General features: G+C 36.4%; 1 protein-coding gene across 2 annotated transcripts in view; it reads left to right on the top strand.

Moving 5' to 3' along the window:
- Positions 1-359: 359 nt before the first annotated feature.
- The window catches only part of TRAT1 (T cell receptor associated transmembrane adaptor 1), a 32220-nt gene continuing 7446 nt past the window's right edge, over positions 360-25133 (top strand). The window contains exons 1-4 of one of the 2 annotated variants that reach the window (NM_016388.4): positions 360-508; positions 8244-8354; positions 16508-16541; positions 24642-24703. In NM_016388.4, the coding sequence (NP_057472.2) occupies positions 502-508; positions 8244-8354; positions 16508-16541; positions 24642-24703 (214 nt within the window). In that variant the 5' untranslated portion in view covers positions 360-501. The remainder of the gene's footprint in view (positions 509-8243; positions 8355-16507; positions 16542-24641; positions 24704-25133) is intronic. The other variant, NM_001317747.2, reaches the window with a different exon arrangement.

Genomic DNA, 25133 nt, shown 5'->3' on the forward strand with positions numbered 1-25133 from the left:
ACAACAGCTGAGCACACCCACGGGTTGCTTACTATTTACTCATCAGTTTAGTGTATCTTATTTTGTTTCCATGTGAATTTACTTGTGAAGAGATGACTGGATTCTCTCCAGAGATAGGAAGATCCCTCCTGGTTTAATTCCTACCTTTATTTATTTATTTTTCAATTAGACTCAGGTATTGATAAAAATTCAAATGTCAGATTACAAAGGTGTGTGGGATTTTTCTTCCCACGTTACACAATTTAAGTCGACTGTTTTCAGATCAAAACTCAAGACAACTCCTTCACCACATTTCCTGTTTGTAACTGAAACAAAGTACACACAAAAGATTTTAAGAAACAGAAGAGAAAAGAATCCGAGGCACAGATAAAGATAAGTTTTACTGTCATGCTGCTTTTAACATAACAGAGCAACATCACCTAGGAAAAAAGTTTGTAGGAGGATTTTTAATCCATATATTTGTCTTATGGCTAGATAAAGATTTCTCTGAAAAAAAGAAGCATGTCAGGTAAGTGGCATTTTAAACTTTTTGTTCCATTTGTGTGTCTAAAAATTCACTTAATTTCTAAGTCCTAACGAGAAGACCCTTAGTATTTAGAAAGTAGTTATTTTAAAAATGTTGGATAACTTTTAGTGTAATTAAAATATATTTTGAAACATGTTAATGAGTATAAGTTGACATTTTTCTTTTGAAAGAAAAATGTGGACAGCATTTTAGAACGTAAATCTAATTACAGCTGTTCAGTAAGTGTTCACTGATAATTATGCCATGTGAAGTACTTGTTATTTTTAAAGAAGCTTTTGTTGACTATGTGTATTCCTCTTTAGTTTAGTTTAGCTATTAAACAGGATAAGTGTAATTCTAATTCCTCAGAGATTAGGCACTATAGTATTTTCTAGAAAGCAATGCAATTGTCAACATTCAGAGAGACAACAATTTTGAAAAGGCCAGTGAAAATTCAATTGCTGTGAGATTAATCATGAGGGTTAGATCCATATTCACTCGCTGTTGTGAAAGGGTTGGATCCATATTGACTCACTGTTATGAATCCATGTTGATGGTTCATTCCTCCTGTATTATTTTATGTACTTTTAATTTATTAAATAAACATCTTTTTGTTGCAAAAGGAAACATGCATATTATGTAATGTGGGAGAACTGTGAAATATATATATTAAAAATTCATACGTATTTTCCATCACCTTAAAAACACAAAATATGTTTTATTTCCTTTCAAATTTTATTTATATACATTCTATATAGTTTGCTTTTCATAACTGAAATAATAATGTACATAATATATCCAGCTTTTTTCACTAACATAACCATGTCCCTTTTAATATAACTTCTGCATAATCATTTTAAATGAATGCACAAAAATGATATCTATTCAGTTATAGTTTAGTCATTTGTTTATTGCTGAACATTTATGTTGTATACAGTTTTTTTTGTTTGTTTTTTTTTGAGACAGAGTCTCTCTTTGTTGCCAGGCAGGAGTGCAGTGGCGCAATCTTGGCTCACTGCAACCTCTGCCTCCCAGGTTCAAGCGATTCTCCTGCCTCAACCTCCTGAGTATCTGGGACTACAGGCGCGTGCCACCACGCCTGGCTAATTTTTGTATTTCTAATAGAGACAGGGTTTCATTATGTTGGCCAGGATGGTCTCGATCTCTTGACCTCATGATCCGCCCGCCTTGGCCTCCCAAAGTGCTGAGATTACAGGCGTGAGCCACTGCGCCCAGCCCTGTTGTATACAGTTTTTAAAAATATTTTTACATGACAGAAAGATGAACAACTCTATAGCTTTTTCTGTAGTAAGGGTTATTTTTTCAGAAAACTTTCTAGAACTGAAATTATTAAGAGATTATGGCATTTTAAGTCTCATTATTGCCAAATTGCTTTTCCAAGAGTGATGCCAATTCCCTCTCATTCTAGCAGTGCTTCTCCTTCACAGGCTGATCTCCTTTAAAAAATCGTCACTAATCTCATAAGCACAACATGCTAACTCATTGTTCAATATGCATTACTTTGATTATAATGAGGTTGAACATTTTTGCATGGATTTTTAAACTGTTTATAGCTATCATTTGTGATAGTCTGATGACCTCTTTTGCTTAATTAGTATGCTTTGTACTTTTAATACCAATTTGTATAGGCCAGCTATGGAGTAAAGATTGCATATATTATAATTTCTGTGAATTGGCTTCCATTGTTCTGTTTGATGGATCTTAAAACCAATTGATTACATAAATCACACAGGGACCATAAGCTGGCATACAATTTTCATACCTCTCCTTATCTTTCCCAGTTCATACTTTAGCAAAGAACAAAAACAAGTGTCCCAATTTTTCTAGTGCCCTGCAAGAAATGAACATAGCATTACTAAGTATAATTCCATGAGCTGATGATGATGGGGAACTCAGAAAGCATGGGAAGACCAAAGACGGTGAATATGACATTCCTCTATTTTCAGGACTAATTAATTCTAAATTTAGAACAGATATGGTAACATTTCCTCCATCGCATTTTGTAGTTCAGACTTCCCCTTTGGGTTTAATACAGGAGCTCCTACATCAACAGTTGAGAACTTTTACAATTTCACAGAAGAGATGCAAAGACAAAGTATTTAAAAACCTCACAGGTATTAAAAGTCAAAACAAAACAAAATTTCACATGAAGGAAGAGAATCAGATGATAGTATTTTTTATATTTAGATAGGTAAAATAAAAAATAAAATAAATTTGAACACACACAAAAGAATAATTATTTCTAGTTAAGTAAAACTACGTATGAAAACAAAAACCCAAGTATTTTCTTTTTTCCTACCTATATGCCTGTAGTCACTGCATCATCCATAATGTTCTGGTATCATAATTCCTGCTGTGTTTCTGCATTTACATAAAATCTGTATTAATGGAATCAAATGGTGAAAACAAGTCTTTGGTCTATCATTAATTTAAATAATGATTCACAATTTAGTTTACTCATCTTCATTTTTTTTAAAAAAAAGGAGTCTCATTGTCTTTACTCAGTTTTATCTTCTCTTGAGCCTCATCACCTTTTGAGGACAATGAAATCCTTTCTTTTAGAGACTAGGTGGGACTAACGTGTAAATTATCTTTTAAACTCAGATGGGTCAAAGACAATGTTTCTCCATTTAATTTAGGTAATATTATGAATTGGGCAGTGTTTTTAAGGAAAGTCAATCCAGGAAAGATTGTCAATTAAAGATCATAGTTCCAAGAAATAAATGTCCCCAAGTTGCTAGTGAATAAGAGAAATCATTATTCGGCACTTTCCCAGACATTTTTGATTACACTTAATCTTCTCAGCATTCCTGAATTAAAGGGAAGAGATGACAAAATTAATAGGCCTTCTTGAAATATTAAAAGAAACATCATAAAGTATTTTATTGGATGAAAGTTGCCATACAACCATGCCATCTTCAGAGGATCTTACTAAGGTTCTTCTCAAATAAGAAACAATAAGTATACATATAAATGAAGTCACTAAATACAGAGAAAGACAAGTTCATCTACAGCAGCACTTTAATCTCAGTAGAATTTCTGAGGTTTACCAATCTCAGGTAAAGTTTAATTGTAGAAGCAATGAAGAGTCTAGCATTGGAGGAATCATAATTTACTCTCTTCTGTCCTCCACCTCACTCTCATATTTATACTTTCTTCAATTAAATTAAGTAAAGTATTGATTGAGGGGAATCATGATGTGCTAGGAAGAGGTAGCCTTAATGTAACACAGATGAAGATATGAAATCCAGTTTTACAATTGTCTTAGTGAGATTCAGCCACACAACTGGTGACTACTCTCATTCCCTTTTCCACAGTTTGAAAATAGGTATCCAAAGCTAATATTACTATTTTCTCTTTCCCCATCACAGCCCACTCCCCAACACACACCATTTACTTCTCAAATAACCCCCTGTTCATAATAGACACATAAGGTCAGTGGATTTCAGATTTGCATTAAAAACAGCATGGTATTTTACTTGAAAGCCTGGAACTGATTTGCGAGCCCCCTCCTGTGCTAATATCCATGATTCAAATGTCTTTTATTGTGGGATGATGGGTAGTGGTTGGGATTGTGCGTGTAGTGATCATGTGTCACGTTCAAAAAATCATCAAGAATGTGCCTTATTTAGCACCAACCACCACCATGGTAAGAAAAACTCATTTTATAAGTAGACTCATGGGGATCATAATACTGCTATTGAGATTTCTGGGTGCCTAAAATAAATATACACATTCATGGAATGCAAAAAGACGTTCATTGCTCTGACAGAGTTTACAAGCCAAGGAAAGCCATTAAGAGAAGCTATATGCTGTAATATACTATAAACTCATACACTTGTCTCAGTTAAAGATAGCCTGAAGTAAAAACAATTAAGGCATTATATTTATTGCTTTTTCTATTGCTAATTGTTTAAGTAAAGGCTTCTGTGTAAATCAAATCTGCCAGCAGAAAGACATTATATTTGCTTAGCTGGGTTTCCTTCCAGAGCACATGCAATTGTGAATTTCAAAGACAGTGCCTGCCAATTACTGTTGGCTTTAAGGGAGTCAGAGGTTTTATAATTAAACCCACCACTATTAGCCCCTGGTAGTTGGAAGCTGGAGAGAAACTTAAATCATGATTTTCCTAGCTGCCATTCCTCTCTGATAATTTCTCGAGTTCTTCGGCTTTTTAACAGTGTAAATAGCTGAATTCAAATTGTGTGGGAGTTTTTTTAAATTGATCAAAGCTATATAAATGAAAGTAATTACAATTAATGAATATTGATACTAAAGGTTACACTTGTTGGGTAAAAAATTTTAAGCACTTTGTGCATCCAGTATTCTAAGAGGCACTGTCTGTACTAAGTAGATACCCACAGGAATATGGAGATATTTATACTGCATATTTAGAATTACTGGGTAAGGGGAGGTATAAAGTATGTGTGTATGTGTGTGTGTGTGTGTGTGTGTGTGTGTGTGTGTGTACGTTTATACAGACCTGAATTCAAGTTGAAAATTTCCATCATTATCTACTTAATATCTACCCTTCTCATGTGTGTGCATTGTTTTTCAAAATGGGGGTATTTATTGTTGGCAAGCAAAAAATTGTGAAAGATATTAAGAATGTCATAAAATACAAAGCCTCCAAATAAAAATCTTCCTGTTTAAAATTTATGTATTATTTTTAAAAACTTGGAAAACAGAAGTGTCAGGAATTACGGACCCTAAAAGCAGAGGAAACCAGAGACCATGTGAAACTGCATCACACATACCTAAACTACTCCCCAATATTAGAACTTAGATTGTGTTTTAAAAGGCCTCCAAGTGGTTATGTGGGGCAAATTTACTCTAACAGTAAACGACAAAACACAACCCTAAAGAAATGTACAGTGTGACCCAAATTCTTGCCTTAGTGTTTCTGACATATTTCATGAAAATTATTAGGACTTTCCCAAAAACTTTTAGTGTAGCATATAGGCTTGTGATATTGATTAGGTTGTTTCTTTGTAGCTGAGAGTCAAATTGTCTTCTTATAGCAATTAATGGACTAACACAACTATTTCAATTCTCTCTTTAATTGGAAAGGAGAAAGCAAAACTTCTATTTGAAATATAATTTTGTCCAAATGATTGGATGATTTATAGCTAGATTCAGTGTAATTTAAAAAATAAGATTAGGGCTTTCTGTTTATTTCCTTGAAGTATGATTGGTTATATTGTACTACATTTTATTTACTCAAACCATAACTATGTATTGAGTATATACTAAACACTACATGCTGTGGCAAGTGGAAAGAAAAAAAATGCTAAGTAGAAAGGAGATCGATTTTTATTAGTGTTCCCGAGGCTCATGAGTGCTAGAGATTTATTATTATTTTCCATGTATTTATTTACCCCTCCTCCAGAAAAAGGGGTATTAGAAATAAGTGTAACAGTATGAAAGATAACCAAATAAGTCAAGGTGAAGGGAAAATAAGGAGAAAGGGATATGATTAGTTCACAAAAATGAGTATCATAAAGCCCTTGAGATTTGCTTAGATTGTGTATCAAAGACAGACAGATGATTAAGTACAATATTCACATGGGATATAATAGCAAAAATGTACCAGTTCTTAAGGAAATCCCCAGGCCTTTATATTTGAGACACCATGTGATGTATTAAATAATGTCTTCCAGTTCATAGTATCCTTGAAATTAATGTATTCAATGAAGAGTTTCATATGGCTTCTTTGTCTTAAAACATGTTTTATTTTGTCCTGAGAACAAAGGCCCAAATGTGGAAAATTGAAGCAAATAAGAAAGAACAACAGAGAATTTTAGATTTTATTTTCTGACTACAACATGAAGTTCAACTCTCTGTTGCCATTTTAGGGCAGATTGTATGCTTTAATGGTCGGCGAGATGGAAGCAGTCTTGACATTCCCTTAAGAAATTTTGAAAACATAACTGGGACATGTCCAGAATAGAAAGTCATCAAAGTCTATTTTACTTCCATTCATGGGTAGATCCAGGTAGTTTCACACAGGCAAGGTCAAAATAATCTTTCTGAAATCAACTTCTCATCCCTTCAGCATCTGATGAGTGAATGATCAAGGTCCCAAAGTATATACTATAGAAATTGGATGCAATAATTATAGCTTGGACTATTTCTAAAGCAGGGTTACAAGTCCAATTTGGCCAAAGGTAAATGATTACTGCATCCATTAAATGCTTAATTTTAACCAATGCGACTCCCTGGTCAACTCTATAATAAATTAACTGTAAAATGAGTTTGTAGGGAAGCTGTTCTATACTATATTATGTTATATTATATAATTGTCACTGTACAATGTACAGTCATGTGCTATGTAACAATGTTTTGGTCTGGCTGGGCTCAGTGTCTCGCACCTGTAATCCCAGCACTTTGGGAGGCCGAGGTGGGCAGATCACTTGAGGTCAGGAGTTTGAGACCAGCCTGGCCAGCATGGTGAAACCCTGTCTCTACTAAAAACTCAAAAATTAGCCAGGCGTGGTGGTGCACACCTGTAATCCCAGCTACTTGGGAGGCTGAGACAGCAGAATTGCCTGAACCTGGGAGGTGGAGGTTGTAGTGAGCCGAGATCGTGCCACTGCACTTCAGCCTGGGCGAAAGAGCAAGACTCCATCTCAAAACACACACACACACACACACACACACACACAACGTTTTGGTCGATGATTGACCACATATATTATGGTGGTCCCTTAAGATTATAATGGGGCTGAAAAACTTTTATCATTTAGTGACTTCATAACTGTTGGGATGTCATAGTGCAATGCATTACTCATATGTTTATGGTGATGCTGGTGTAAACAAACCTACTGTGCTGCCCATTGTAGAAAAGTAGAGCAATACAATTATGTACAGAATATTTGGTAATGATAATAAATGACTATATTAGTGGTTTATGTATTTACTATACTATGCTTTTATCATTACCTTAGAGTATACTTCTTCTACTTATAAAAAAAGTTAACTGTAAAATAGCCTCAGGTAGGTCCTTCAGGAGTTATTCCAGGAGGCATTGTTACAGGAGATGACCTCTCCATGTGTGTCATTGCCCTTGAAGACCTTCTACTGGGACAAGATGTGGGGGTGGAAGATGGTAATACTGATTATCCTGACCCTGTGTAGGCCTAGGGGAAAGAGAAGTGTAATTAACTTTCCACTTTACATTCATGGGGCTCTACATAGTATGAGAAAAGCTCCCTGTGGCCAATCTTAACAAAACTGGGCTCCAGAATTATTGTTTTATCCCAACACATCGTATTCTATACTACTGAGATCAATGGAAGAGAACAGGCCATTTTCTGTAAATAAGGAAAGCGTGTATGATTACAGTCTGAGGATTAAAGAAAGGTGAAAAGTATAGCAAACTAGAATTCTTGGTAATTTGAATGTTGTTGATTTTTGAACAAAAGTTTTTTATCAGTCACCACTTGTCACCTTTTAATAGCTACACAAAAAAGTCGTTTATTTCATAAACACTCAGAATGTGAGAAACTTGAATCCTTTTGCCCATGCTGAATTCAGCAACTTAACACCAACACCCACTTTGAAAACTGAAAAAAGTTATGAATATTAATTAGTTTCCCGGTAGAGACTGTGTACTTCATTATGAATAAATGCAACAGCTTTAACTGTGGCAATAGCCAGACCAAAACAAATGGGTAAGCAGCTGTTATATTATGTGTATGTTTATTTTAATTTCCAGGAATCTCTGGGTGCCCCTTTTTCCTCTGGGGACTTCTAGCATTGTTGGGCTTGGCTTTGGTTATATCACTGATCTTCAATATTTCCCACTATGTGGAAAAGCAACGACAAGGTAAGACATTTTGACAAATTTCACATGGTACCTGCTTGAATGGAGACTATGGAGTCACTGGAAAACCTATGGAAGCAGACAATTTTATGAAATGTCATTCAACAGGATATTTTTATCTATAGAAAATCTATTTGCTAATTTTTCTCGCCCAAAGGGTTCTCTTATTTAAGAATGCAATCATATTAGAAATGTGAAATAGTTATCCAATTTAGGAACTCTTCTTTAGGGTGTAGAGTGGGAAGGGATTATCCTGGTAAATACGTTTTTCCTCCTCCAGTTGAAAAACCTATGAAATTGTAGTCTATGCTGGGGCAGCCATCAAGGTTCTCTCTGATACATAATAAACAAAGGGAAGTCTAGCTCTTTAAGATTCCATTCAAGCCAACTTAATCTTCTCAGGATCAGTCAGGCATTCTCACATGCAACACAAAAGAGCGGGGTCAGAAGACGACTGGAAAAGGAAGAGATTGAACCATGGGCTTGCTGTCAAACACTCCCAGAGTCTAGGAGAGGTCAAGAGTATCTGCCACTGTCAGCTTTGCTTTTTCAACATGCTGGGCATAAGTTTTAACCATGTGGCTTTCAATCTGCATATGCCACAACTGAAATGGCCTGAAGCCCAGCAGCTGGCACAGCCTTTGTATGCTGTAGGCATCCAATTCATGTTGAATATGCATGGATCCATGTTGAATCCATTACATGTTGAATACATATGGATGGATGGGAGAATGAAAGTTCAAATATTGCTGGAAGGTATCTTTTTTTTTTTTTTTTTTTGAGACAGGATCTTGCTCTGTCGCCCAGGCTGGAATGCAGTGGCATGATTATAACTCACTGCAGCCTCAAACTTCTGTGCTCAAACAATCCTCTTGCCTCAGCCTCTCAAGTAGCTAGGATTACAGGCATGCACAAACACATCCAGCTAATTTTCAGAAATTTTTTGTAGAGATGGGAGTCTCACTATGTTGCCCAGGCTGATCCTGTACTCTTGTTCTCAAGCCATCCTCCTGCCTTGGCCTCCCAAAACACTGAGATTACAGGTGTGAGCAACCACGCCCAGCCTGGAAGGTGTTTAAATACCAAGAAACCCTTAAGGGCAGGACATATAAGTGGTAATAAAAGAAAAGAAAAGATAAATGCATTTCCTTTTAACAGAGGAAATGAAATAAAACTAAGTTAACAAAATTAACTTAGACACATGTGTCCAAGAAAAATGTCATAGAGCTAATTTAGAACAATGGTCAGATTGCAGCAAATGTCCTTGCTTCACTTAGAAATATCTTAAGCACCGATAATACTAATATAAAATATGAAGAAGGGATTATTGTCATGCAGGTTTGAAAATAAGATGAGAGGTACTCGAAAATGGAGTGGTCTAGCTGAAGCCACACATCTATTCAATAGCAAAATCAATGATAAGTGTCCAGTTTTTCTAATTCTCTGTCCCAAAAGGTTTCTACCAGTACATCCTTCCTTGACATTGTTGACCAGTTGTCCTCAGCCAGAAACCCAACACTCTTTTTGGATCTCTATTATATCAATTCTATGGCTAAGGTGAAATTTATGACAAGCAATCTTTTTCATTAGCAATGCTTTCAGTAATCTTTTAAAAATCCAATATATTTTCAAATAAACATAAACTATATAAGTCAGATGTATAAATGACCCATCATCAAACATCTTCTACAGTTTCCCTCCTTTATAGATAAAAATGAGCTCAGAGTAGCACTTTGCTTTATATATCGAATTGGCTATTTTAACTTCTTTATTAAGATATCTTATAAATCCAGATAATATATAGCCAGAATTACAAAAAAAATGTGAATTGAGATCTACAGAGAGTAAATAATTTAAGGTGACAACCAAGACAAGACCAGTAACCTGAATTAGTACCTCACTCTTTCATTGATTCCACTGATAATCCTTTTAAGATTGCTGAGGGGCCAGGTAACAGGTAGACATTGACATGCTTACCTTGAGCTCAATTGTCTAACTTAAAATTTATCTAGCAAATGTGACCTATTTACTTTCAACCTTAATAGTCAATTTTTTCAGTCCTATGATTGCATGAATTATGGATGTTAAGAACTGCTTTTTATCAACATCATCAAGATCAGGACTGGTATAATTTCACTAATGTAGTACTTCTGCCCCAGAAGTATTCAGCTGTACTAGTCTTTTACAACTCATTGTAAATAGGTTTTACAATTCTCATTTTTGGTAGTTTGTGCATTGGGATTTATTTACCCACATGCATACCTTTTTGCCTCCATGCAAACTCCTTTGTGTAGTTGCTTACTATGGTAATTTGACCACTGCAGAAAGACAGTAGCCTTACTTTAAAAAGCATCGTGTTTGGTAGTTAAAAAAGCAGTGCCTGTAATCCCAGTGCTTTGGGAGGCAGAGGTGGGTGGATTGCCTGAGGTCAGGAGTTCGAGACCAGCCTGGTCAACATGGAGAAACTCCATCTCTACTAAAATTACAAAAATTAGCTGGGCATAGTGGCGCATGCCTGTAATCCCAGCTACTCGGGAGGCTGAGGCAGGAGAATCGCTTAAACCCAGGAGGCAGAGGTTGCCATGAGCTGAAATAGCGCCACTGCACTCCAGCCTGGGTAAAAGAGCAAGACTCTGTCAAAAACAAAACAAAACAAAAAAAAACCACGTTTTCATTTTGTTATTTCAGGACAGATTTTTTCCTTTTCAATTGTGCAAACCCTTACTGCCCCAAGCATGCCATAAGCAGCTCTATTACCTAAAAGTAGTGTAATGGAAAGAACATTTTTAAGAAAACAGTGAACAATAAATTGCATTTATTGATGTATTTTTTAAATAAATTTTGCTTCTCTCAATTGTTTTTAATAGTATACCTTTGAAGTAGACCTGATGTAAATTAGAACTCTGCCTTCAATATTTAGCTGGAAGATCTTGTACAAGTAACATAATTTCTCTGAGTTTCAGTTTCCTTATCTATAAGATGTGGAAAATACCATCTAGACCCTAGGGTTCTTGTAAGAATTACACACACACACACACACACACACACACACACATCTTTGCATAGTGCTGGGGACTTAGTAGGTCAGTCCTAGATCTGGTGCAGCCCATCACCATACCTAGTGGCCGTGTTGTTTCCTTCCTTCTTTCCACAAATAATTATTAAGGATCTACTATGGCTATATGTCATCCCATGTAATTTTCACATCTGTTATTTTGGTGAACATTGGTTTCTCTGGCTACTTTGCTGCTCCCACCATCCCTATGCCCCTCTAAGTCCTCTCCAGCTCCAACTTCACTTTCCTCATCTCTATATTATTTAACACATCTGTACAACACCCTGAGCTTTAGCACTAAATGTTGTGGTCATGTATGTCACATTCAGGTCCATTTCAGAGAGTTTTCTGTAGAGTTTTATGGAATTGATTCTAAACATTAGCTTATCACAAAACCTTTTATTTGAGCAGTAATGTACCCTCATTAGGTGGAGCATACACTGGAACTTGCATTTTATTGGTGTGCAATTGATGTATTCATCAACGCTAAGAATGTCCTTTGTTCTTATCCCACCTCCACCCTTTCTCTCTGCCCCAACTTCTCCTAACATCTTTTCCCAAGTATTAGTAATAGCTCTGCCTTTCTTTCCATCCCATATGAACAAATAGAACTATCTTTGTTTCTAACCCAGAGATTTCAAATATATTTCAGAACTGCTCTGCAAACAGTTCAGTTCCTTCCAATCTTCCTGAAGAAGACTTCCTGCCTTATTTCTCTGGGACAAACAAACTATAATAAAAGAGATTCTATTGTATCAACTGGCTTTTCTGCCACTTGGGCTGTGAATGAAATGCCCCTGTATCTGGCCTCATATAACTTTTTATGTTTGCATCTTTTTGTTACTCTTTGTGGCTGAGAAATTTGCAAGATCTGACTCCACCTTGGTTAGTCAGTGAATAAGTTTTGCTGGTGTAATAAATAGCGTTCAAAAGAAAATCTCCATTTCAGCAACAATACAATATCTGCACATTCAATCAGATAGACCAGATAAGCCTCCCCTTGATGTTTTCTGTAGCAGCTAGGTAGAAGCTTTGAAATGGAGTTCTCTCATTCTCCCTAAAATAAATCCTTCATTTTTTATGTGATTCTTTGTTCAAATCTGTTCTTTAGGAGGATTATATTTATTTCTTTTTCTGATAGGAGTGCATTCACTTTTTCCTTCTTTAAATCCAAAAACTATTCTTTGTTTAACTCTTCCTCTCTGGTTTGGAAAGAAGGATAAACAAGCGTATGGTTTGGTCATACATCAAAGTCCTATCAGTAGGAAATTATGGCATCTTCACATTTAACATGTATCAGAGAAATTTCATTATGGAGTTTAAACTATGTGCCGTTGTCTATTCTTGTACATAGGAGGGTTAACACTCTAAGAGGAAAAACATAAAAGCAAACATATTTGCATCACACCCTCTCAACTACAAACCTGACCACAAGTGTTTGCATCTGAATCACAGGAGAGGATTATGAGAGCTCACCTAGTTCTTCCCACGCACAGTCTTGCACATTTCATTGCTTTATAGCAAAGCATACACTTTTTTTATTTTGCTAAATGTCATTGAAATCACCAGGCAGCTTTTAAATTAAGTCATGCCACTTATTTTTAAATAAACTTTTGAGCCTTCATGACAGAGCAAACTTTTCAGAAGCCTGAGCTTGCTGGCTTTTATTCTGAGCTGTAACCTCTGAACTTCTCACTACGGCTCATTTAAAGAGATTATAACCTTCTTCTAGGGAGGACTGCAAAACAAAATTACCCAAGTACTGATGGCTCAGCTGCAGATTATACATTTACATCCTAAAAGTAGCATGGAATGGGGTGCCCTTGAACTTCTTACATCCCATTTCAGGTGCTCCCTTTAACCATTACTTGTTTTCTTTATTTTCCCCCCAAATTGGTTTAGTCCCTTTCCTTCCATCTAAACATCACATTATTATATTGTATCCTTTATATAGTTGCTTCTATTTCCTTTTTCCCACACAGTTTTTGTCTTTTTTTTCTTTTATTCCCCTATTGATAATACATTCAGCACATTCCCATTCAATAGAGTTAGTTGTTTGTTTGTATTTATTTATTTATTTATTTATTTATTTATTTATTTATTTTTTGAGAAAGTCTTGCTCTGTCGCCCAGGCTGGAGTGCAGTGGCACGATCTCAGCTCACTACAACCTCTGCCTCCTGGATTCAAGCGATTCCCCTGCCTCAGCCTCCCGAGTAGCTGGGACTACAGGCGCATGCCACCATGCCCAGCTAATTTTTTGTATTTTAGTAGAGATGGGGTTTCACCATTTTGGCCAGGATAGTCCCGATCTCCCGACCTCGTGATCTGCCCACCTTGGCCTCCCAAAGTGCTGGGATTACAGGCATGAGCCACCGTGCCCGGCCAGAGTTAGTTTTTATGTGTTACACTAGTATTCTTTCTAGGCACCAGCGTTCATACTTCAAGCACCTCCATCTGAAAAATCCACATTATCTTTTAAAAACATTAGCCTGTTTGGGGAATTATTTTTACTCCATACCTACTTTTTCTTATTCTTATTAAGCAATGACACTCTTCACTTTTGTTTTCAATGTTTTTGCTGATTTTTTTCCTTTTCTTTCAAATTAATGCTCAGCTGGTGACTATCCTTTTGTCAAGAGTGAGATTTTAGTAATTTCATTTCAAATCAAGCATTACTTATATATCTTTTAACTTCAAAATATCATACCATCTTAATAATACCAGTGTGTTTTCAACTAACTCGTTCATTGAAACTTCCTGACTCAAATGAGTGCAATTAATTTCTGGCTTGTTATATAATATGTATTTAGAATGTATGTATAATATTAATAACAAACTTTGTCATTAAAAAATGTTTTTACAGAAAATATTTCATTTACCTCTGACATGTACTCTGTGATGTAGGCATTATTGTCCCTACTTCATGGATAAATTGAGCACCAGAGCTTTAAAGCAATTTGCGTGTTGTCACAGGGCAAATGCATTGCAAAACTGGTACCAAATCCATATCTTCTGATTCTTAACCCTGGATTTGTTCCATTATACATCAGGCTACCATTTGACTAAATTCTTATGCATCTACTTTAATTCCAGGCAAATCTGCAAAATAATTAGTGGCCTGAGTGTAAACATTTTCTTCACATAGAAGGAAATCAACATATACTTTATGTCATGTCTTATTTATCAGTTTACAATTTCCTGGTCTATATTAACTATGTTTTCTTTATATGCTTCTTGACATTATTTACATTTCTCAGGTTTTTTGATTTTGCTGAACTTGTGGCTACTATGCAATATGTTTTAGCCTCTCTAGGCTTCTCCCAACATTTGTGTGCACTTGTATTCACAAGACTAGTATGAAAGTAGTTGAAAATAACTGCATCTTTTACATGCAGTTCATGGTAGAACATTTCCTCTGGACTAGAAGTATGTTTCTGACATATTCCAAATGGAATACATTCATCACTTTTGGTCCCATAGCAGCTTAGTGCATATGCTCCGCAAAATCTTCCCTCATTTAGTCCTTCACAGAATTCTTCCAAACACATTGACATGTGACATGTCCGTTTCATCCTCCAGTATGATTACTTTCATAAATTGTTCCACTAATGTGTCTTTAACAGTTAATAACCTCTCTGGAGAATAACTCAACTTTGTTACACATAAATTTAACTAAAATAAGTTTTGTAGTTGTTTGGTGACTTACTGAATTATTTGAAAATGTTATTGCTAGTTCCTTACTAATATAGAGTGTTTTCACATGTTCAAGTTGAAAGATAATCATTTGGTCACTATTTTCTCGTGATTATTGTCAGAGAGTTAGATAATAGTGGTCTTTATTTTTACATTAATAACTTTTTTGCAAGGTTTTGGCTTTTATTTAATGCCAGGTTGAAAAATAAGCCATTCAAATATAATAAACATTGTGCTGTATGTGTGCATCTAGTTCAACAGTAAAGAAAATTTACTGATGAATGGATAATACAGAATTTTCTATAACATTGATGTTAAGACTGTACCCTGATTATCCCTTACTTTTTTTCAATAATTCATCATGAATCTATTGCCTTCAATTAAAGAAAATTCTTAAAACTACATTTGTTAAATAGCTTTTGAATTCTTATATTTGACCTAGAAGTAAAAATACTTTTGTTTGGCTTTGAACTGCCTCATTCAAGGTTTAACAGTGAGTTGCTTACTGAGATTCATCACATAGTTTTTTTCTGTGGTTTTGTTGTCCTACAACACATCTCTGGTAAGTCTTGTCCTGGCAGACCAAAAATAACTTTTCTTTTCTTAGAAGCTGTTCTACTGTTTCGGTTAATTTTAGAGCCTGTGTTCCAACTTTTTCCAGGTCTCTTCTTCCTAGCACACTCATTTCTCCTTCCCACTCCTTTGTACAATGTGGATGAAATGAAGTCATGATCACAGCAGCTTTCTTAATATCATTTTTATGTTGTTACTCATGCCAAGAAATGTTAAAAGTAGATAGATAGATAGATAGATGATAGATATAGATAGATGATAGATAGATAGATAGATAGATAGATAGATAGATAGATAGATAGATAGAGATTGATAAAAGAAAAGTCTCCTATTGATTTTTTTCGTTTTTGGTAACAAAGAAAAGCCTATTCAAACCACATGGGCAAAGATAAAAACTTATAAGAATGCAGAGGTGTTTCATGGAACCCAAAGGCAGAAAGTACAGTCATGCCCTGCAGTGGACTGGAGCCACAAGGGAGGCAGGAAGGAAGGTTCCAGCTCTCTCTGCTTAGTGTTTCTGTGCATAAAACCGCAATGCATCCAGGCTGTACATCGTCTCCAAGCTGCACTGTTTCCACCCCAAATTACCAAGAAAGTTGCTCTGGTTTCTCTTCAAGTCATATAAATCTTTCTTTCTTGGTAATTTGGTAAAAGGCAAATCTGATTGGCCCAAGAGGAGACCTTTAACCCTACTTCAATCAGAGGTGCCCTGAGAGCCTTGGTCAAATATATTAATTGACATTGAGGCTAAACTCCCCTCAGAACACACTTTAGAATATTTAACAAAGGTATGTCAACATTTCTTTTAACTTGTCTATTTTGAATATCTTTCAGATAAAATGTACAGCTACTCCAGTGACCACACCAGGTATGTTGTGATTCAGTCATGGATCATGATTCCCAACTAATAAGCAAAAGTAACAATGCTATATTGTTTAAAGATTTGGCTCATGGATATTGTACTTAGGTTAAAATGAAATGAAAAGTGAGTTTTAATTACTTTTACTCTCATCTAAAGATCAGAAGCTATAACATTATTATCTGTCCTAGTTATTTGCACACTGTGAGTCAACAAGAAAGCTGGTTGAAGGATAAAATGAGATTCTAACCTGATAACTATAGAATTATCATTAATTTCAGAGGTAGATAGCCTAGATTATGATCCAGCTTAGATACAGAATTGTGCTACACTTCAAAATCCATAGTAGAAAACAATCTGGCAACCTAATACAATTTAAGATATGTATACACGGGCCAGGCACGGTGGTTCATGCCTGTAATCCCAGCACTTTGGGAGGCCGAGGCAGGCAGATCACGAGGTCAGGAGATGGAGGCCATCCTGGCTAACATGGTGAAACCCTGTCTCTAGAAAAAAAACAAAACAAAACAAAAAAAAATTAGCTGGGCGTGGTGGCACATGCCTGTAGTCCCAGCTACTCAGGAGGCTGAGGCAGGAGAATCACTTGAACCCGGGAGGCGGAGGTTGCAGTGAGCCAAGATGGCACCACTGCACTCCAGCTGGACGACAGAGTGAGACTCTGTCTCAAGAAAAAAAAAAAAAAAAGATGTGTATACACATAGATATACACAAGGATGAGTAGCGCTATGCTGTTTGTAGAGTTAATGTCAATCAATAGGGAAACGTGATGAACAGATACTCTGAAAGAATATGCTGTTATAGATATCACTTATTCTCTTTAATAGTTATTGAGCTATTTGCAAAGAAATTTGTATAGTAGTATACATTTTTTTAAAAAAAATATTTATGGCATAAATCGTAGTAAGGAAATTTTACTTTTTTTGTATAGAATATTCTGACCCAGATGTGTCAATGTATTGGAGATTTCTGTTTTAGGGGTAAAAAAAAAAATCTAAATAAAGAGAATTTCCTAGAGGGCTCTTCAAGACCTTTCTGAAATGGTAGACTGAAAGGTCTTTGAAAAACACAGAGCTTTCTCACTGGGTAGGATAAGAACATAAGCCTTTTTGGTCTCTTTAAGGTCTTTTTTTTAAAAAAATTCTTTTTCCATGTGAAAATTTCTTGAGCAAGTATAAGATCTGGGCTGCAGGCATACCCCGTCACACACAAAATCTGTTTTTATGACTACTCTTAACATTGAATTATTTAACATTAGATACTTTTCAAGTCATTAGTTTATATCAAGAATGATTTGCTTACTGCTCTTTTGGTTTCTTTTTACAACACATAATGATGAAAATCCTATATAATCACACAGTAAGAGCTAATCTCTTTAATGATCTATTTAATACTTGTAATTTGAAGGGCAATTAAGATGCAATGTGATAGAAAGTCTTGTGATTTGACTATTTAGCTAAATTAGGTTGATGGTTTAGGGATTAGGATGGGAGCAATGAGAGGGAAAATTGGTAAAATACCTGCCTCAAAGCAATCAGGCTTTTAGCTGTAGGGCAAATGTAAAAAAAAAAAAAAAGCTTTTATAACATTTATTCATTCAATAAATATTCACTCAACAAACAGGCACTGTGCTAGACAATAGCAAAATAAGTTTGCTGATTACCAATCCCAAGGGAGGATATAGGATAGCAAAGATCATTACTATGCCAACCACCAGGAATAGGAGTCTGAGCGCTTCAGCCCACTGTGTCTTGGGATGCACATTTACTACTTTCCTGAGTCTGGTGAGACAAAACACACAAACAATGAGTTACATAAAGTGAGCTTATTACTTACTCAGCAAAGGACAACCAAAGTCTAAGATTCATTCAGAGATAGTTCCCCAAGCCTCAGAAAAGCTGTCCAAGGTGGATGGAAACTCATCTTCCTGTTCCCCACCTGCACTGCAGCTGAAGGACTCCAGAAAGCAGCCTACCTTTGGGTTTACCCCTAAGGGGCAACATGATATGCTGGGCTAAAGCACTGAAGGATATCCTGTTTCTGTGAGAGACTAGAATAAAACCTAGGCTGTTCCAGCTGATTCTTCTTTATCCCTGAAGGTTGCATTTCCAGCACATTCTACAGTTATTCTTAAAAATTAGAAGTGAGAAAAGAAGGACCAGTTGGGTGCAAAGTCACCCAGAGAACTGTCCTGCAACAACAAAGATACAAAGATGGAAAGGCATGAATCTTTCCCTTAAGGATTTATAAAATAACCTATTGTCTATTGTAACAAATCTCCAGTTAGGCAAAATTTGAATATACAATGCAGATTTTTTTCTATAAAAAAGCGTTGATATTTTAATTCACAAGTTTATGTATATACCTTATATTTTGTCTATTTCTCTTGCTTATGTGGTTTGGGAACAAAAATCTCTTTTGTAAAGGGGCATGGAAGCTCCACAAACAAACCAGTAAGCGAACTAAAAACTATCTGAATCCATTAAACATTAAAACAGGGCAAGTGAAAATAAGGTCTATGTTTCTCGGGTGGGGCTTGCGTTACTGATGCCTCTTCAGTTCCAACATGGTTTGTGGCCATAGAGAAAGGAAATAAACTTCTATCGCACTGGGTTCTCTGTTGCACTCTCTCCCCACTCCTATTCAATACTGGCTTATGCTGGAAGGGAAAGGAATTGCTTCTCTCATCTTATTTCTCTGTTTCCCCATTCCCTGCCCTTCCTGCAACAGTACGTCAGAAACATGATCACTTTAAGGAAACCATAGCACCTAAATCAAGCAGAAAATCAAATACACACTTTCTGCTATTTATTCTTGGGTCACTTTATTTCTCATTTAAAACATAATTCTTGCCTTTTGGTTTGTGTTAGGAGGATAATACTGTGAGACTATCATGGATTTGAGATCCAGGCAATTCTGAATTTTAAACAGACTTGCAATTAGTGGATTCGTAGTCTTGGGGAAATGAGCATTGGTGAAATTTGGTTTTATCATATGAAGAATAAGGTTTATAATATAATACTTTATTTACAGAGGGTAGTTGACTAAAAAGCTGCTGTTTTATTGAATAAAAATTAATGCCTCTGAAAATTCCTGCCCACTTGCAGTATGTTCACACCCTAATTCAAGAAAGCAGTTCAGGTTTACAATTACATTAAGCTTATCATGACTCCTCAGTTTTCAGAGTCTCTCTCAAAAAGCTTAGGATGCATTTCCAGCAGATTTTCATGAACTGCTTCTGGGGGACACTGGAGGTGCTTTTATCATAAAACATTAATTCAGCTCAGCTACTCTTCTACTTTCCGGTGATTTCTTGAATTTCTGGAGCTCTGCAGGGTGGGGATCTTCTGTATTTCCTTTCTTTGCTAACTATGCTACCTAAATATAACTAGTCTCATCTGTCCTCTTCACCCATTCTCAAGGTTGAGAATCCTTATGACAAGAGAACTCTTGGGTCCCCTTCCCTGACATCACAGACTTCCAACTGGCTATGCAGGTGGGGCCTTCACTAGACCCAGTACCACATGTGTAACCAAAGTGTCTCTACGTCTTCCAGCCTCCTGTTTGTTTCAATGTACAAATAATCATAACCCAAGCCCCAGCCCTGTATAACTACAAGAAGTCTGGTCCCTTTCCTAAGCAATTCTGAGAATTTCGGGGTTCCCCAAACCTTATTCTTGGCTGCCCCCTTGTCACCTCTAGCTCCGTCACTGCTCTTGGATTCTCCGTCATTTTAGAAATTGTCATGCTGGCAGTTCTTTCCAGTATCCTTTCCGCCAAACTTTGGCGAAAGACCCTTCTTTTCAAGTGCTCTAAAGCACTGGCAATGTGAGCTCATTGTGCTTAACAGACTTTACAAAGAAATGAGCATATTAGAGAGGCACGTGAACACTAATCAACAGAATGAGAATTTAGTGTTAGATATCATGGCTATGAGCATCCATTAACCATCACTTCAGAGACAACACTGCTGGATTCACTTCTCAGCCTCAGTCACACAAAATAGTGCTAGGATTTATATTCTTCCTCTGGATCAGGGTTCTCTATTTGGTGCCCTCCTGCGCCAAGTTCAAGACATCTACACTCATACCACAGCCCATGCCAGAGAAAGCGAAAATGTAATAAGCATATATGCATCACTCTGTCAACTTTTCCTTTGTGATTCTGCATTGTTACTTTTTCTGTCCCCTTTGTATCATTCCCACCAATATATAAACAGACTGTATTGTTTATACCTTTAAAAAACCAACCATCTCCTTAAAACTAGATTGCCAGCCGGGCGTGGTGGCTCACGCCTGTAATCTCAGCACTTTGGGAGGCCGAGGCAGGCAGATCACCAGGTCAAGAGATTGAGATAATCCTGGCCAACATAGTAAAACTCTGTCTCCATTAAAAATACAAAAATTTGCTGGGCATGTCGTCATGCGCCTGTAGTCCCAGCTACTTGGGAGGCTGAGGCAGGAGAATCACTTGAACCCAGGAGGCGGAGGTTGCAGTGAGCCAAGATCACACCACTGCACTCCAACATGGTGACAGAGCAAGACTCCGTCTCAAAAAAACAAAAACAAAAATAAACAAAACAACAACAACAACAACAAAACTAGATTGCCTTACAGCTACCTCTTCATTGCTCTTTTCTCTTTTACAAGAAAACTTGAAAGGTCCCTCTATATTCTGTCCATATTTGCTGGCTTTTCTTCCTCTTTTCCTCTTCTTTCTTGAACCTACTCTATTCCATATGTCCTCACTAATACACTGACTCTACTCTTGTCAAGGTTACCATGATCAAATCTCGGTTTCAGCTTGCTGAGTCCCTCTGCAGCATTTGACACCCTGACACTCTCTACTTGAAACACTTGATTCTCTGGGCTCTGAGCCACCTCCCTCTTTGGTTTTCTTCTTCTCTTACCAGCAGCCCCTTCTCCTTTGCTGGTTTCTGAATCTTAAACATCACAGTTCCCAGGGCCTCATTCCATAAATAATGTCATCCTCTCTCATGGCTTTAAACATTTACACACTTACGGATCCCAAGCTTACATCTTTGCCTATTCAGAGTAACAACTATGAAGCAAATCAGGTTAGCAATTACCAAAACCAACTTCTGATGGATCCCAAAGCTTGTCCTTTCCCATCTCTGGCAACTTCTCAGGCCCTTAAAATAGATTTATTTCGTTTTGTAAAAAAGTCTTTCAATTTTATTTGGATGTTGGAATCCTGCATTTGTATTCTAGAACTTGGGAACTGAAAAGAACAATAGAAATCAACTAGTTTAATCTCATTTTTTAAGTAAGACAATCTAAACTTAGAGAATTTAAGTCCAAGGTGATCAGGTAGAAGTAGTGATTTTTTTTTTTTTTTTGAGACGGAGTCTCGCTCTGACTCCCAGGTTGGAGTGCAGTGGTGCAATCCCGGCTCACTGCCTTCTCTGCCTCCTGGGTTCACGCCAGATTATTTTTTAATTTGAATTTAGTTATTTAAATGGACTTTGATCACAAACTACTTGAGGAATTTTTTAAATAAAAGACCTAATAAATAATAAATATAAATATAAATGTAAAAAATAGGAACTAGAAAAAATATAAATGTGGCCAGGCACAGTGGCTCACGCCTATAATCCCAGCACTTTGGGAGGCCGAGGCGGGCAGATAATGAGGTCAGAAAATCTAGACTATCCTGGCTAACACGGTGAAACCCCGTCTCTACTAAAAATACAAAAAATTAGCTGGGTGTGGTGGCGGGCGCCTGTAGTCCCAGCTACTCGGGAGGCTGAGGCAGCAGAATGACGTGAATCCGGGAGGCGGAGCTTGCAGTGAGCCGAGATTGCGCCACTGCACTCCAGCCTGGGTGACAGAGAGAGACTCTGTCTCAAAAAAAAAAAAAAAAAAAAAAAAAAGAAATACGTGTATATATATATGAAAGCACAAAGTCTGGACCATAGTAATAGATATAATTAATATATTTTTCTTAATTTTGGAGTGTCAGTAAATGTACTTACTGGTTAGAGAATTATTTCAGGCATGTTCAGAACAATGGAGAGTCTGGTCTGGCTGAAAACTCAGAGGTACACTAGCCTCTCAGATATGAGTTCAATTATTAATTTATTTTTAAAAGTAATTAATCATCCACATAAAATACTGCCAAACATTTGCTCCTGAGGTTTATTACACATTTACAACAGGCTGGAGCTATTTGGCATTGCCAAGAATATATTTTTAAATTTGTTTGTTAGGCAATTGCTCCTGAATAATAGTTTATTTGAGATGATTAATCATTTGAGATGGGCCTGTAGACACAGGACACTGCATTATAAATCACATCTTATTTTCATTCATAGGGAATAAAACAATACTCATTTTTTGGACATGATTTATCATTTGCAAGTTGGATCTGCCATCTATGTGGGCTAGGAAAATGGATGGATTGTCTTATTAAAAATTCTTCAGTTTTTGCTATTATATTCTTGGCATGGAGAAAAATCATGAGCAGGGACTACTTGATATCCCAATATTAAGCTGTATTGAATTACCGGATGGAAAAAAGGTTACAGATGAGTTCCTTTGTTATCAGATGAGTGAAGTGTTTGCCCATATCTGGGCTTTTCAAGCCATTTCATACAGGTATCATTTGAACTGTTATTTTTTTAATACCTACGTACTATTTACATATACTGTGTCTTTTTTCAGTGGCATAGAGAGTAATACAGGTGTTATGCCTTGAGATAAGAGTCCTTTTTTTTTTTCTTTTGATGAAATTCCCTCCAGCTCTCAGTGACATGTAATCTCAAAGTTAAAGCAGTCGGTACTATTTTATGAAATGCGACTCTCACCACCTGATAAGTTCCTCAGTTCCCAGACTGCCATTGTGAAATCTGGTCACTAGGGCCATCATCAATGGTAGGATGACATTGGTAGAATGACAGTCTAGTGACAATGGTAGGATGTATACTGTAATCCTAATAGCATTACTCACGTGAGGCTGGAAGGAACTTTAATCAGCTAGCAAGAGCAAATAGCTGTGTATTCTTGTCAGTTCTCTTGACCTGAGGGTCGGGGAGACATAAAACTGTGGTCCCTGTATAGTCTCTAGACTGTTTCCCCACAGCCTTTGAATTGTATCACCCACTGAATAACTTCCTCATGATGTGGACTGAGCACGGGGCTTTACAACTAAACTTGCTGTACAATCCTAGCACTGCCAGTTACTGACTGTGTATCTGTGGACAATGTCATTAACCTCTATGAGCTGCAAATACCTTATATGCACAATAGGGATAAAATATGCATCTCATATGATTGTCCTGAGGGTTGAATGAGCACTTGCATAGAGAAAAGGTTTCACAACTGGTAGTTATTGCTGATAGTTGAGATCAGCCTAGGGAAAATAAATTAATCTATCTGAATCTCAGGGTTCTCCCCTGTAAAGCAGGGAAGAATACTACTACTTTTGGAGAATTTTCTTTGTGAGTTTTTGATACAATGTATGTAAAACACCTAACTCACCATCTGGACATAATAGGTGATCAATCATTTTATTGCATCTGCTAACCTCAGTCTGTAATACTCAGAAAACATGGTTTTAAGAGATTGTTTGGACTGATATTCTGGGTGAGTAAAGAGGCAGTACATTGTACAATAAAGAGCATGGATTACCTGGGTTCTAATTCTAACTCTGCTATTTGTTAGTCGTAATCTTGAGCAAGTCATATGACCTCTCTGTGCCTCAGATTTCTTATCTGCATAAGGAGGATGATATAGTACCTATGTTGGAATTGAGAGAATTAAATGAACAAACATAGGAAATATACTCGATGTAGCGCCTAATATACAGTTACTATTGAATAAGTATTTGCTATCATGATTCCCTGTAAGAAGATCCAAAAACCAACTTTTTAAATTCACACGGAACACAGATACACATACACACATGCATGCACGTGTTCACTCACTTGCACAAGAACACACCTACCGTGGTTGGCTGGGGGTAACCAAGAATAGGCAATAGTTCACTTAATATTGAATTTAGCTGAGAAGTCAGTTATGAATTATGTGAAAAGTGGAATCTAATAAGGTAAATTATTTTTCCTTGTTATAGGGTTGATGAGTATTATATTGAAGACACACCAATTTATGGTAACTTAGATGATATGATTTCAGGTAAGTTTTCCATAAGTTAAATTTATAAATAAGTAAATCCCAGTTGGTTTCACAAAATAATTTAAGTGGCGCTTTAAAAAAATCAAATCACACTTAGCTATCCCAGTGATAACCATCAATTCAAGAACTTTTAGTATATTAATTAGGCTACATTTCCAAAGCTGCATATTGTAAGTTGTATTACAATAGCCACTCTAAATCAACATCCTGTTTTTCTATATTCTCTTCATTTCACTCTAGTAGTAATGAGAATACAGGAAGACTATTACCATGAATTTCAACACACACCGAATTCTATGAAATAAAGCTATTTCTAGGACAGAAAGTGGTCCACAGAAACAGTGCTTTGTGCTCAATATACAAAAGCAAATGTACAGTGAATAGCATGGAACAATGAACAGTTTCTTTGGTTTCTCATATTCTAAATAGA

This window comes from Homo sapiens, chromosome 3, assembly GCF_000001405.40.
Source record: "Homo sapiens chromosome 3, GRCh38.p14 Primary Assembly".
NCBI classification, from domain to species: domain Eukaryota; kingdom Metazoa; phylum Chordata; class Mammalia; order Primates; family Hominidae; genus Homo; species Homo sapiens.